Source organism: Homo sapiens, chromosome 2 (assembly GCF_000001405.40).
Source record: "Homo sapiens chromosome 2, GRCh38.p14 Primary Assembly".
Taxonomy (NCBI): Eukaryota; Metazoa; Chordata; class Mammalia; order Primates; family Hominidae; genus Homo; species Homo sapiens.
The window spans coordinates 104,392,010-104,405,439 of record NC_000002.12 but is presented as its reverse complement, the minus strand read 5'-3'; the positions used below and the strand labels follow the sequence as shown (position 1 = coordinate 104,405,439).

The 13,430-nt window shown below is 41.9% G+C and overlaps 1 long non-coding RNA gene and 1 pseudogene across 1 annotated transcript in view; both read left to right on the top strand.

The window, feature by feature from the left end:
• The window catches only part of LOC100287010 (uncharacterized), a 29,483-nt gene that overhangs the window by 2,893 nt on the left and 13,160 nt on the right, over nucleotides 1-13,430 (top strand). Inside the window, exon 2 of the long non-coding RNA NR_037885.3 lies at nucleotides 11,489-11,615. This is a non-coding gene — a long non-coding RNA (uncharacterized LOC100287010). The remainder of the gene's footprint in view (nucleotides 1-11,488; nucleotides 11,616-13,430) is intronic.
• Nucleotides 9,066-10,448, top strand: AHCYP3 (adenosylhomocysteinase pseudogene 3; annotated as a pseudogene).

The following is a 13,430-nucleotide window of genomic DNA, read 5'->3' as shown; positions in this document are numbered from 1 at the left end:
ACTGTGGAGAATGGTGGCTGTGAGATGAAGCTTCCCTTTTCTTAAAATCTTGGCCAAACCATTAACATTCCCTGTGCCTCATTTTATCAATATTAAGAATAACCACAATGATGCACTTTCAAATATTCTATGAAAATTAATGGATAATTGATGGCGACAGTGCAAGATAGTGATTAAGAGGGCTGGCTCTGGAGCCAGGCTGCCCAGTTTGAATCCTGGATCTGTACTGACTCACTGCTCAATAATTATAATGCTCTAAATTTACCATTCAGTTTTAGGCTTAACAGTTATTGAATGTTTACTCCCTGCCAGCCGCTGGTGACAAGCACTTTATAAGCATTCTTGTACTTCATCATTAGGACATCCCTATGAAATAGATATGGTTATTATTCCCATTTTGCACACGGGCAAGGATAAGCGCTAACCTAGCTCTTGGGATATAGTAGGAGCTCAATGACTTTAGCAAAGCTAAAGCCATTTGATAAATTCAAAATTTTGCTAAAAGCTAAAATGAGAAGAGAGAACCCCCTTAACTCTCATTTCTCCAATCTCCCTTCACTTGCCCTGGTCTGTACTCTACGAGGCGACGCAAAACTGGCACAATGTAAATTCCGCCATGAGCACAGTTTACAGTGAAGGCAGAAATAAACAAAGTGAAGCCTGCCTCATGTTCTCGCCAACCCTGCTTTTCTCGTTCACTATACTCCTATTTTAATGTCCCAGCCAAGGGCCCATAAAAGGGTTTTACCACTGAGATTGGCTTCTCCTCAAACTGTCAGAACTATTGCCAAGTGTTACTGTCAAATAGTGGCACATCTTCTCCCTCTCAGAATTCTGAGATTCTCTATGGCTTCAAGAAAAGTACATTTGTATGTGTATGTGTTGTTTGTATTTCTGTGTGTGTGTGCTCTCAGACACTGGTCTAATGTATCAATGATTATATCAGTGACTGAGCTTGTCTGAACACTGAACACACATCATTGATGAATCTAGGATTTCAGGAACAGTTGCTGTACCTTATAAATGCTAAAAAAGTATTTTCCAAAGCTTAGTATTTTTGATGCATGACCCTTCTGTAAATACTGCAGTAATTTGTTTTAAATTTAAGTAACATTTTTATTTTTATTATTAAGATAGAATGCCATCCATTTTATTCCTGAATCACTTGGTTCTGTTTCCTAAAATTTCTAAGGTATCCAATATCAGAACTTTTAAGATCTAAAATCATTTTTAAAGTGTTCCCACTGTTATTAAAATTTTTTTAAAAACTTACTCTATGAGATTGAAAGGCAATTAGGATAATCCCACAGCAATTGGGCATTAGATACAAAGTATATGCACAATAATAAATGTTGATTATTTTTGATATTTACACAAGAACATTTTCTGGAATAATTATATCCTCTACTTACTGACCACTTATTGGTTCATTAAATCCTAATAATAGCTGAAGGAAGAGATACAGTTTCCATTTTACAAATGAAGACAATCAAGCTGAGATAAACAATTCCAACTGTTCAGGCCACATATTTGATAGGTGTCAGAGCTAATTTCATATGTGGGCTTTTTGACTTCCATCTGGGCCTTTTAATGGCCATGCTATTTGCCATCCAAGTCTCACAGTGAAAGAATTAGAAACTCATATTTTGTGTATAAACTAGCATGGGGTCAGATTATGCACCCCAGATAAAATGCAGGATATCTAATTAAGTTTGAATTTCAGATAAACAACAAACAACATTTTGGTAGTATGTTTAGTAGCATGTTGCATAGGACATATTTACACCAAAATTAGTCATTGTTAATCTGAAATTCAGATTTAACTGGGTGTCTAGTATTTTCATTTGGTAAATCTGGCAACCCTAGTCTGAATATACTCAGATAAAAGCGAGGCAAAGTAGATGATCTCTGTCTCAGCATCCCTGAAATGTTCTCTTGTGTTTAAAAGGGGGTCTGAGGGATGACTGCCTCCTTTGCTGGTTACCCTTCTTTCCTGCTATGACTTACTGTGATAAAGCCTCTGAGATCCCCTGGTGTCAGAGGCAGCATCTCTGCAGCTGGGAGCCATAGAGGGCTGTCCCCTGCTGCTGAGGCCCATGGAAGGCCCCACCGTGCCCCCTGCCCTCCCAGGATGTGTACTTTGGTGGGTGCAGTGCCTGGGCCGGCCATGCAATGATTCTTGATTGTCCTGTCAAAGTCGCTGCACTGTCAATGCCCGTAGAGATGCAGTGAGGGGACCACTTAGAGTTCTTACCTTGCAGCCTCATACCCCAGGTTTCAGCCAGGAGTCACTGACGCGTGAGCAGCAGAAAAATTTGAGTATTAAGCAGCATGCTCTGCTCAGATGAACTGTCCTTCCTGCCACAACCCAGAGGACACTTGTCCCATCCCCATAGCCTGCTCCAGCTTTTGTGCAAAGAGGGCTCACCCACCAGCCCCACAGATGTGTCTGGACATGTCAAGCATTCAGTGGGCCAGGGTTTATGCTCAGGGGTTAATAATGCTAATAATAATGACTGTAATAATGATAGAATTAGAATACTCTCAATTTTCAGTATGATTGAATTTTCACTATGATTGAAGCTTGTTGTTCATATTGAAACAGGTTGTTGCAACCTGTTACAGAGCTTTAATCATAGTGAAAATTAAGAGTATTCTAATTCTATCATTATTACAATCATTATTATTAGCATTATTAACCCCGAGCATAAACCCCGGCCTGTTACAACCCTGGGGTTGAAATCTCCTATGAGACTGCCCTCAATTTATTATTTTTTTTTTTGAGGGCTGGGAGCTCTTCTCTATCTTACCGAGCAAAGACATTGTATGGATGAAGGGCTATTCACTGTTTGTTGTTGTTGTTGTTGTTTTTTGGTGAGAATAAATAAGCATCAGATATGATTCTCCAAGGTACAGGCCAAAAAGGACACACGAAGGAGGCTGTGGAAAATCAGGCAGGCAGAGGTGTACAGCTAGCTCTTGCGGTTATCATCTGTGTGACTTTAGATGAGTTAAATTACTGAGTGCTCTAAGCGTGCCCCAAGAGGTAAGCATCTCCAGTGATTCCTGAGCATCTGGGAAAATGGACATTCATGACTTGATACAGACTTTCAGGAATTCCATCAGAGCTGACTTAATCCCTGAGAGAGTCATACCCTCACTTATTTTGCAGTCCTTAGGAGAAATCCTGGGATACGTGAAACACAAAGCCTACCCCAGGTTTCCTCAAAACCTGCCAGTGATCTAAGTACTCTGGCAGCAAGGTCTAGCCCCACACTGGTCTTGTTCAGGACCACATTCTGGGATGAGTGTCATTGGGTGTGTGGGAGAGAACACAGCTGTGGGCTTGATCTGGATTCCATCCAAGCTAGAGAGTTCTTGTCAGCTCAGTGACATCAGGCAAGTGCTGAACCTCAGTTTCCTCATCTGTAAGTGCTAGATGATGCTTGCTTCCTAAACACCGTTGTAACAACCTGTTACAGAGCTTCAATCATAATGAAAATTAAGAGTATTCTAATTCTATCATTATTACAGTCATTATTATTAGCGTTAGCATTAGAATTCCACCAGCATAGGTATAGAGGCTACTTGTATGCACGTTAACAGATCTTTTGCAGAGCTTCTTCTTCAGAGCTGTTTTGGCTATAGGTGGCTGCTAATGTCACATGGCTATTGAGCACTTGAAATGTGCTGTATATGTAAAATGCACACTGAATTTTGAAGACCGTGCAAAAATTAGAATTTAAAGCACCACATTAATACATGTTATGTTATCATACGTTAAAATGACAATAATTTGAAAGTATTGGGTTAAATAAAATATATTGTTAAAGTTAACTTCACCTGTTTCTTTTTATTTATTTTGAATGTGGCTACCAGAAAATTGAAAATTACATATGCGGCTCTCATTTGCAGCTTACCTGGTATTTCTATTGGAAGTGCTGCTCTAGGGAACTCAGGTCATAGGTCTAGAAAGAAATATAATTCCATCTTGCCCCTTCCTTTTTACGTAATGTTTTCCTCCTTGTGTTCTAGAGAGACTTTGTTCTGTACAATATATTCTTTTAAATATTGTTTTTGCCCTTCTGAATATAAGAAGGCAGAACTAGCGAGGATAATCTATGTAGGTGGGGCCAAAACAAATGATGAGAACAAAATTCGCTCTATTAAGAGACGCTCAATATTCCCCTAAAACGTTTTTAAAGCTTTTCACCTGGCCAAAAATTCACATCAGGATATGCTTTTGATTCCGACATGGCAAGAAACCTTCAATGTAAAAGACAAATTGCAAAGGGTACCAAATGGGATGACAGCACCTGGACATTTGTTAAAATATTTGAGGAGTTTTCGTATTGGCTCAGCTACTGAATTTTCATAGAAAAATAATCTAATATAGCATATGTATGATTGTGTGATTCCCAATTAAAATATTCAAGGTCTGTATTTGTGAGCCAAGATCCAATACCTTTTCCAAGTTTTACAGAAAAGTGGAGAAAACCTGGAAATGCTTGATACATATTACACAGTATAAATAGGTGCTACAATTTCCCTTTATCACTAGGAATGTGAAATCTGGAGAAGTAGTTTTTTTTTTAAATAAACAGGAACACTACAATTATTTTTCTGCTTCACCTCTTTGCTCTATGAAATGCTGTTGAACTTGCCCTTTTAAAGATTAATCAAAGTCTGCATTTACAATTGGTTTAAGACTGTCACTATAATTTTGAGCTCATGTAATGTGAGAGGAATTAATTTGATTAAAACAAAATTAAACCATGTGTAATTCACAATAGCAGAACACATTTGCAGGCTTCCTCATGACGTGGCTAGTGCTGGAATACTTGCCAGGGGAGTGGTTTAGAATTAGATAGAAGGGGGCCAGGCACAGTGGCTCACGCCTGTAATCCCACCACTTTGGGAGGCCGAAGTGGGTGCTTCACGAGGTCAGGAGTTCAAGAACAGCATGGCCAACATAGTGAAACCCCGTTCTCTATTAAAAATACAAAAAATTAGCCTGGTGTGGTGGCAGGCGTCTGTAATCCAAACTACTCGGGAGGCTGAGGCGGGAGAATTGCTTGAACCCTGGAGGCGGATGTTGCAGTGAGCCAAGATCGTGCCACTGCACTCCAGCCTGGGCAACAAGAGCAAGACCCCGTCTCAGGTAAAAAAAAAAGACTTAGATAGAAAGTTCTATTAGTAGAGATGTCAATGCTAAGTGGCTGTGACCAAGCATTTTGCTGCAACATTTGATACTGTCATAATTATCATGTTTTATTAAAAATCTTAGAAAGAGGTAATATAATTGAGAGAAACACTGCTCTTTCATTACCCACTCTTCAATCCCATGGAATGGGTCCCGTTTTGCCTTTCCTCTTCTTTTCTCCTCTTCTTTTCTCTTCTTCTTCTTTTTCTTTTCTTTTTTTTTTTTTTTTTTTTTTTGAGATGGAGTCTGGCTTTGTTGCCCAGGCTGGAGTGCAGTGGCATGATCTCGGCTCACTGCAACCTCCACCTCCTGGGTTCAAGTGATTCTCCTGCCTCAGCCTTCCGAGTAGCTGGGACTACAGGTGTCTGCCACCACACCTGGCTAATTTTTTGTATTTTTAGTAAAGACAGGTTTCACCTTGTTAGCCAGGATGGTCTTGATCTCCTGACCTCGTGACCCGGCCACCTCGGCCTCCCAAAGTGCTGGGATTACAGGTGTGAGCCACCATGCCCAGCCCCTCTTCTCTTCTTTCATTTCTCTGGGTAGGCCTAGTCTTTTGAGTTTGAGACAGGGTTAGGGGTAGGGATAAGAGTATCAGAGATATTCTTTCACACATGGTTGTCCATTGGTGCTGGGGAGATTGTCCTGGTCTCACTCTTGGCTTGGTCTTGTTTTACCTGATGCTGGTGGTCTCTTCTGATGCAATGGCCTCTGCATAGAAGATATAGGGGTTTGTTTAGGGTGGCCCTCTGCTGAGGACTCCTTCAAAGGGAGGAAGTCCCTTGGGCCCTTTTAGTGCTCTGTGCTTTCATTCAACACTCTCTTGGGGAAGGGTCTCCCCTCCTTTTATCCCTATATTCCTTCTATGGAGTCATGTCCAATACTAAATTCCGTTTTTTTTCCCCCTGCCTCTGAGGACTGAGGAAACTAGGGAAAGTTATATCCATGTCTACTCTGCTACCAAACACTATTTCCACAGTCCTTCCCACCTCAGAAACAGCTAGACCAGGTGTAGACACTAGTCTTGACAGTCTCTATGCCCTTTACAACCAGAATATACTGTCAGGTTTCCCTGAGGGCACTCTCATTCGCTGCTCTCTAGTGGTGGGCCTATATGACTTGCATTTTCTTTTTTTTTTTTTGAGACGGAGTCTCGCTCTGTCGCCTAGGCTGGAGTACAGTGGCGCAATCTCAGCTCACTGCAACTTCCGCCTCCCGGGTTCATGCCATTCTCCCGCCTCAGCCTCCTGAGTAGCTGGGATTACAGGCGCCCACCACAACGCCAGGCTGATTTTTTGTATTTTTAGTAGAGACGGATTTCACCGTGTTAGCCAGGATGTTCTCCATCTCCTGAGCTCGTGATCCACCCGCCTCGGCCTCCCAAAGTGCTGGGATTACAGGCTGAGCCACCGCGCCTGGCCGACTTGCATTTTCTTTTCTTTTTTTTTTTAATTTATAAAGGAAAGGTTTAATTTTTTTTTCTGATTCTTTTTATTATTATTATTATTATTATTATACTTTAAGTTTTAGGGTACATGTGCACAATGTGCAGGTTAGTTACATATGTATACATGTGACATGCTGGTGTGCTGCACCCACTAACTCGTCATTTAGCATTAGGTATATCACCTAATGCTATCCCTCCTCCCTCCCCCCACCCCACAACAGTCCCCAGAGTGTGATGTTCCCCTTCCTGTGTCCATGTGTTCTCATTGTTTAATTCCCACCTATGAGTGAGAATATGCGGTGTTTGGTTTTTTGTTCTTGCGATAGTTTACTGAGAATGATGATTTCCAATTTCATCCATGTCCCTACAAAGGACATGAACTCATCATTTTTTATGGCTGCATAGTAGTCCATGGTGTATATGTGCCACATTTTCTTAATCCAGTCTATCATTGTTGGACATTTGGGTTGGTTCCAAGTCTTTGCTATTGTGAATAGTGCCGCAATAAACATACATGTGCATGTGTCTTTATAGCAGCATGATTTATAGTCCTTTGGATATATACCCAGTAATGGGATGGCTGGGTCAAATGGTATTTTAGTTCTAGATCCCTGAGGAATCGCCACACTGACTTCCACAATGGTTGAACTAGTTTACAGTCCCACCAACAGTGTAAAAGTGTTCCTATTTCTCCACATCCTCTCCAGCACCTGTTGTTTCCTGACTTTTTAATGATTGCCATTCTAACTGGTGTGAGATGGTATCTCATTGTGGTTTTGATTTGCATTTCTCTGATGTCCAGTGATGGTGAGCATTTTTTCATGTGTTTTTTGGCTGCATAAATGTCTTTTTTTGAGAAGTGTCTGTTCATGTCCTTCACCCACTTTTTGATGGGGTTGTTTGTTTTTTTTCTTGTAAATTTGTTTGAGTTCATTGTAGATTCTGGATATTAGCCCTTTGTCAGATGCGTAGGTTGCGAAAATTTTCTCCCATTTTGTAGGTTGCCTGTTCACTGTGATGGTAGTTTCTCTTGCTGTGCAGAAGCTCTTTAGTTTAATTAGATCCCATTTGTCAATTTTGGCTTTTGTTGCCATTGCTTTTGGTATTTTAGACATGAAGTCCTTGCCCATGCCTATGTCCTGAATGGTAATGCCTAGGTTTTCTTCTAGGGTTTTTATCATTTTAGGTCTAATGTTTAAGTCTTTAATCCATCTTGAATTAATTTTTGTATAAGGTGTAAGGAAGGGATCCAGTTTCAGCTTTCTACATATGGCTAGCCAGTTTTCCCAGCACAATTTATTAAATAGGGAATCCTTTCCCCATTGCTTGTTTTTCTCAGGTTTGTCAAAGATCAGATAGTTGTAGATATGTGGCGTTATTTCTGAGGGCTCTGTTCTGTTCCATTGATCTAAATCTCTGTTTTGGTACCAGTACCATGCTGTTTTGGTTACTGCAGCCTTGTAGTATAGTTTGAAGTCAGGTAGCATGATGCCTCCAGCTTTGTTCTTTTGGCTTAGGATTGACTTGGCGATGCGGGCTCTTTTTTGGTTCCATATGAACTTTAAAGTAGTTTTTTCCAATTCTGAATGACAGCAAGCTTTCAGCTGGGAAGTGGGGCACTGGTGTCCCCTCCTTGTAGACACTCCTCATCAAACCACAGGGTCTCATAAAGCCCCATTTATTTGATTATGGAGAAGAGAGGGAGACCCCTTTTCATTCCTGACACTGCAGATCTATGAGGATCCAAGAGCCCTTCCATCCTTCTTTACTCTGTAATCCTCTTATATAAACTGGGAAGCAGGGGATGGTCACTGGAATGGTAGCAGGGGTGGTTCTGCCACTGCTTAACAAACAGGGGACAGTGTCTGGCCGTATATATTATATTTTTTATCATTTGTCAGTTCAGAGTCTTGGAGTATATTCCAGCTCAAAATAAAAAATGTCAGCTCCTTATTTTGTGGATGTACTTTAGGAAATCATCAGTACCATTTATCAGATATTTTTATTTTCCTGTTAGGCACTTGGTAGAATTGCATTTCCTTACCTTCTTGGAGTTAGGTAAGGCCATGCTTTAGCCAGTAATTATTTTATATTGGGAGGGAAGCTTTAAGAGCTTGAGTGTCGTTTACTTGATTCCCATGTTCATCTCTAGAGACTGTGGAAGAATATATCCAAATGGAGCCTCCGTTAGGCCAGGTCTTCATGTGTTTAGGATGAGCCAAGCCTCCCTGTGTTCTTTGTGTTGAATATGTGGTGTGAGTGGGAAACATATTTTGTGTGTGTGAAAAGCCACACAGATTTTTGAGTGACCTGTCACTGCAGCAAAATCTAGCTTAGCCTGATGAAAACAATGTTGTTGCATTAAACATGAGCAGCCAGGTCAGAAGCTGATAAGGACTAGAAAATGCAGATCTGCCCTGCTCAGTGCCACCTGCCCCATGCCTGTCCCCTCTCTGAGGCCCAGCCCCCTTTCTCCGTGTCCATCACACTTTGTGGAAGCGTTGCCAGCATGTCTGACAAACTGTCCTATAAAGTTGCTGACATCGACCTGGCCTCCTGGGGACACAAGGGCCTGGATATTGCGGAGAATGAGATGCTGGGTCTGATGAGTGTGTGGGAGCTGTACTTGGGCTCCAAGCCACTGAAGGGCACCCATATCTCTGGCTGGCCGTATGTGACCGTGGAGAGAGACATCCTCACTGAGACCCGTTGTCTCCCTGGATGCTGAGGTACAGTGTTCCAGCTGCAACATCTTCTCCACCAGGACCAGGTGATGGCTGCCATTGCCAAGGCTGTCATTCCAGTGCATGCCTGGAAGGGTGAAACAAGCAAGGGGTAACTGTCATGCATCCAACATTCACTACTTCAAAGACGTGCCCCTCAACATGATTCTGGATGATGGTAGTGACCTCACCAACCACATCCACACCAAGTACCCACAGCTCTTACTGGGCATCCAAGGCATCTCTGAGGAGACCACCACTAGGGTCCACAACCTACATAAGATGATGGCCAAGGGGATCCTGAAGGTACCTGCCGTCAACAACTCCATCACCAAGAGCAAGTTTCACAGCCTCTAAGGCTGCCGGGAGTCCCTCATAGATGGCATCAAGAGGGATACGGATGTGATGATTGTCGGCAAGGTAGCCATGGTGGCAGGCTATGGCGACATGGGCAAGGGCTGTGCCCAGGCCCTGTGGGATTTTGGGGACCCCTTCGTCATCACCAAGATCGGCCCCATCAACCTGCTACAGACTGCCATGGGGGGCTATGAGGTGACTGTGGTAGATGAGGCCTGTCAGGAGGGCAACATCTTTGTCACTGCCACAGGCTGTGTTGACATCATCCTTGGCCAGCACTTTGAGCAGATGAAGGATGATGCTATCATGTGTAACCCTTTGATGTGGAGATCAATGCCAAGTGGCTCAACGCGAACACTGTGGAGAAGGTGACCATCAAGCCCCAGCTGGCCAGGACTGGCTGAAGAGCAGCACGGCACCATCCTGCTGGTTGAGGGTCTGCTGGTAATCCTGGGCTGTTCCATGGGCCACCTCGGCTTTGTGATGAGTGACTCCTTTACCAACCAGGCGACGGTGCAGATTGAGCTGTGGACCCACCCAGACAAGTACCCTGGTGGGATTCACTTGTTGCCCAAGAAGCTGGATGAGGCTGTGGCTGAATCCCACCTGGGCAAGCTGAATATGAAACTCACAAGTTGACCAAGAAGCAGGCTCAGTACCTGGGTATGTCCTAAGACAACCCCTTCAAGCCAGATCACAACCGCTACTGAGAGCCATGCCTGCCCTTCACCTTCCAGCTGCTGTCCTTCCCAGGCCCCGCCTCTCCTCTGTAAGAGCAAATGGCACCAACTTTGCGATTGGTTTGTCAGTGTCTGCCATAGACTCCCTGGTGCTAGTCCCTCAGTTTTTGGCCTCTGCTGCACCCCTCATACTGTTGCAAGTGTGGCAAGGGGGAATCGAAAGGCCCTTCCTCAAGCCCTGGTCAGGATGGAGGTACAAGGGAGACAGCCACAGGGAACCGTGAGCTCAGTGGTCTTGGAACTGCTCACTAAGTCAGTCCTTCCTAAGCCCGGAAGTTGGTAGTGGAGTTACAAAGCCCATGTACCTTACCACTTAGGCCTTCACCTGGCCTGTGGATTTATACCCGTGTGCTTGGTTCAGTGGTTCCTCAGCCCATGACAGATGGAAGGCGCTATATTCAAAGGCAAGGAGGAACTGTTTGAGTTTTCCTGAGAGCCTGGCTTGGTGCTGGGCCTTCTCTTAAACCTCATAACAATGAGGTTGGTACTTTTAGTCTCTGTTTTACAGGGGTTAGACTAGACCACTAAAGGACAACTGAAAAAGGACAGAGAAGGGACAGCCAGAGGTTGAAAGGGGCCAGAAAAACACAAAGCCAGCATATATCTGCCATCATTTTGTAACAAGAGGGTTCCTATCACAACCCTGGGTCCAAAATAGAGTAATCTGATTTATAATATTTATATAATGTTTATAACCTTAAAGAAAGCAGGAAGGTGAGTAAATAAAAATCTTGGTGCCTAAAACAATTTTGAGGCTTTATTTTTTATAAATAATCCACTGCCAACAATGTGTGGTATGAATAAGGGGGTATAGTCACGTACCAATGAAGCATTGAGAAGACAAGGGGTTGTCTGCAGTGTGAGGGCTGCAGGTAACCCCTTAGGCTTGAAAGAATGAGTAAAGAGGGAACTCTTCTCTTTTCAGACATGTCTCTTGTAAATAACCTGTTTTTAACCCAATCTTAGACTGTCATTGAATAGATGAATTTAACTCATTTACAATTTTTTTTAAAAAAAGAAAAAGATGCAGATCTTCTCTATGTGAGAGGCTAAGAGGTACCCAGACTGTGCCTAGCATCCTTCTCAGAAGAGCAAGAACATGTGCAAAGGAAATTGACAGCAATGGAGTCAAAGTCACACGGCGGGTAAGTTACAGTCTTTACAAGGCATCTGTTTTGATGCTTTGCATATCCAGGTTTACATTTTCTGCCCTTGCCATATTTTCTTTCCTTCAAAGTCATTTATGTGATGAATATAAACTTATAATAATTTAATTATTAGCGACTATTAGTAATTTTTTTCAGTCGATCTATGTTGCCTTTAGGGAGCTGTATTTATGATTATGGTTTCTTCACTGAATTCTGGTGGCAAGTAATAAACACGTCCATGTATGTAAACAGAGAAAGTTGGATTTTGAGGGTATTAATATGTGCTGATCTAATTGGCCTCAAGGCAGTCGGAGACACAGCTTGGCAGGCAAGCCAGTGGAGGTGACATCTCCTGCCTGGAGTCAGAGCGAATACCACTCTTTGCATAGCACCATACTGAAACCACCTGTACTAAGTACATATCTAAGTGATTATGCGTGGAAATAGCCTAAATCACAATCTTTCCCCTGTAAAAAGTGATTTAAACAGTGACATGGATATATTTTTCAAAGCACACCTGAGAGAAGGAAATTGTGACCTGCTCAGCTGTGTTTCTGCATTCTCAGGTTAGGCTACCAGGGATCTGCTGGGCTCCAGGTCTGGCTGCTTGAATATTCAAGGTCCGAGATTATTGCTTAATTTTTCCTGCTTTTTTAGCCAAATGTGTGATAGAAATCATCCAGCCCTTCATTTTGCCATGTTCCTGAGGCATAATATGGAGTAAAACATTCAAGAACTGTATATGGGTGTCACTCTCTAAATATAAAATCATAGACCACATGATTAATTATTATTCTGAATATTGGCAGTTTAAATGGGACGTTATTAATTATTCTGAATATTCGCACTTTAAAAGGAAGGTTGTTTTGACCAAAAAACTGCATACTGAAAAATAATTCATGGTCCAACAGACATTGGCCATGTGGAACTAAATCTGGGAGAATATCCGGTCTCAAACTGCTACTAAAAGTTTCGAAATTGGATGGGCAAGTAAGTATGGTCATTAAAATTTAAGTGGATGAAAATTGGATAATTGCATGCTGCTTTTTATCTTGACACATATTGTATTAAAAGTTACTATGCAAAAGAACCATTTTCTTGGGAAATAAATAGATGAGAAGATTAAACAAGTGACTATTTCTAAATCATATAAGTGGGAGGAGAGCAGTTGAAAAGCATTATTTTACTGTTCCTACAATGCCCAGCTCAGGGCTGGACACATAACAGCCACTCAGTAAATATTTGTTGAGTCTATTAATGTATGAATGCAAACAAAATTCTTATCTTTCCATTAAAATGGAGTAAGTACAATAGAGGAAATTATTTTAAAATGTAGTCCAGTATCCACAACAAATCATCTCCATTTAGGTCTTAATTAGTGTAAGAGTACATTGTTGTTATTCGTTTTCAAAGTTTGTTTAATGATCATGACAGGATTATTTGTGGTATATTCCCTAGGTTGAGTTTATGTAAAAAAAAAAATCTTTCTCCACTGCCTTGATATATTTGGCACCCTTTCTGTGAAGTGCTCAAAATATCATTTTGGGGGTACATTTTAGAGATGTGAAGGGAAATGTCTGAGCTATAAAATCCAAATCGGGATCTCCTTTTTAGTTTCAAGCTAAAGAAAGAAATTCATCACTGAATATACATGCATCTTACATGTTCTAGGGCCTGGTAGTGTTGGAGATTGTTTATGTAGCGTATGTAGTTTACATTCAATAAATGCTTTCTGATTGACAGATGGACTAGTGAAATGCTTCAAGGTAGTATGGCCAGTCATTTGGAATTGTCTGTTTGATCTGCAGAAGG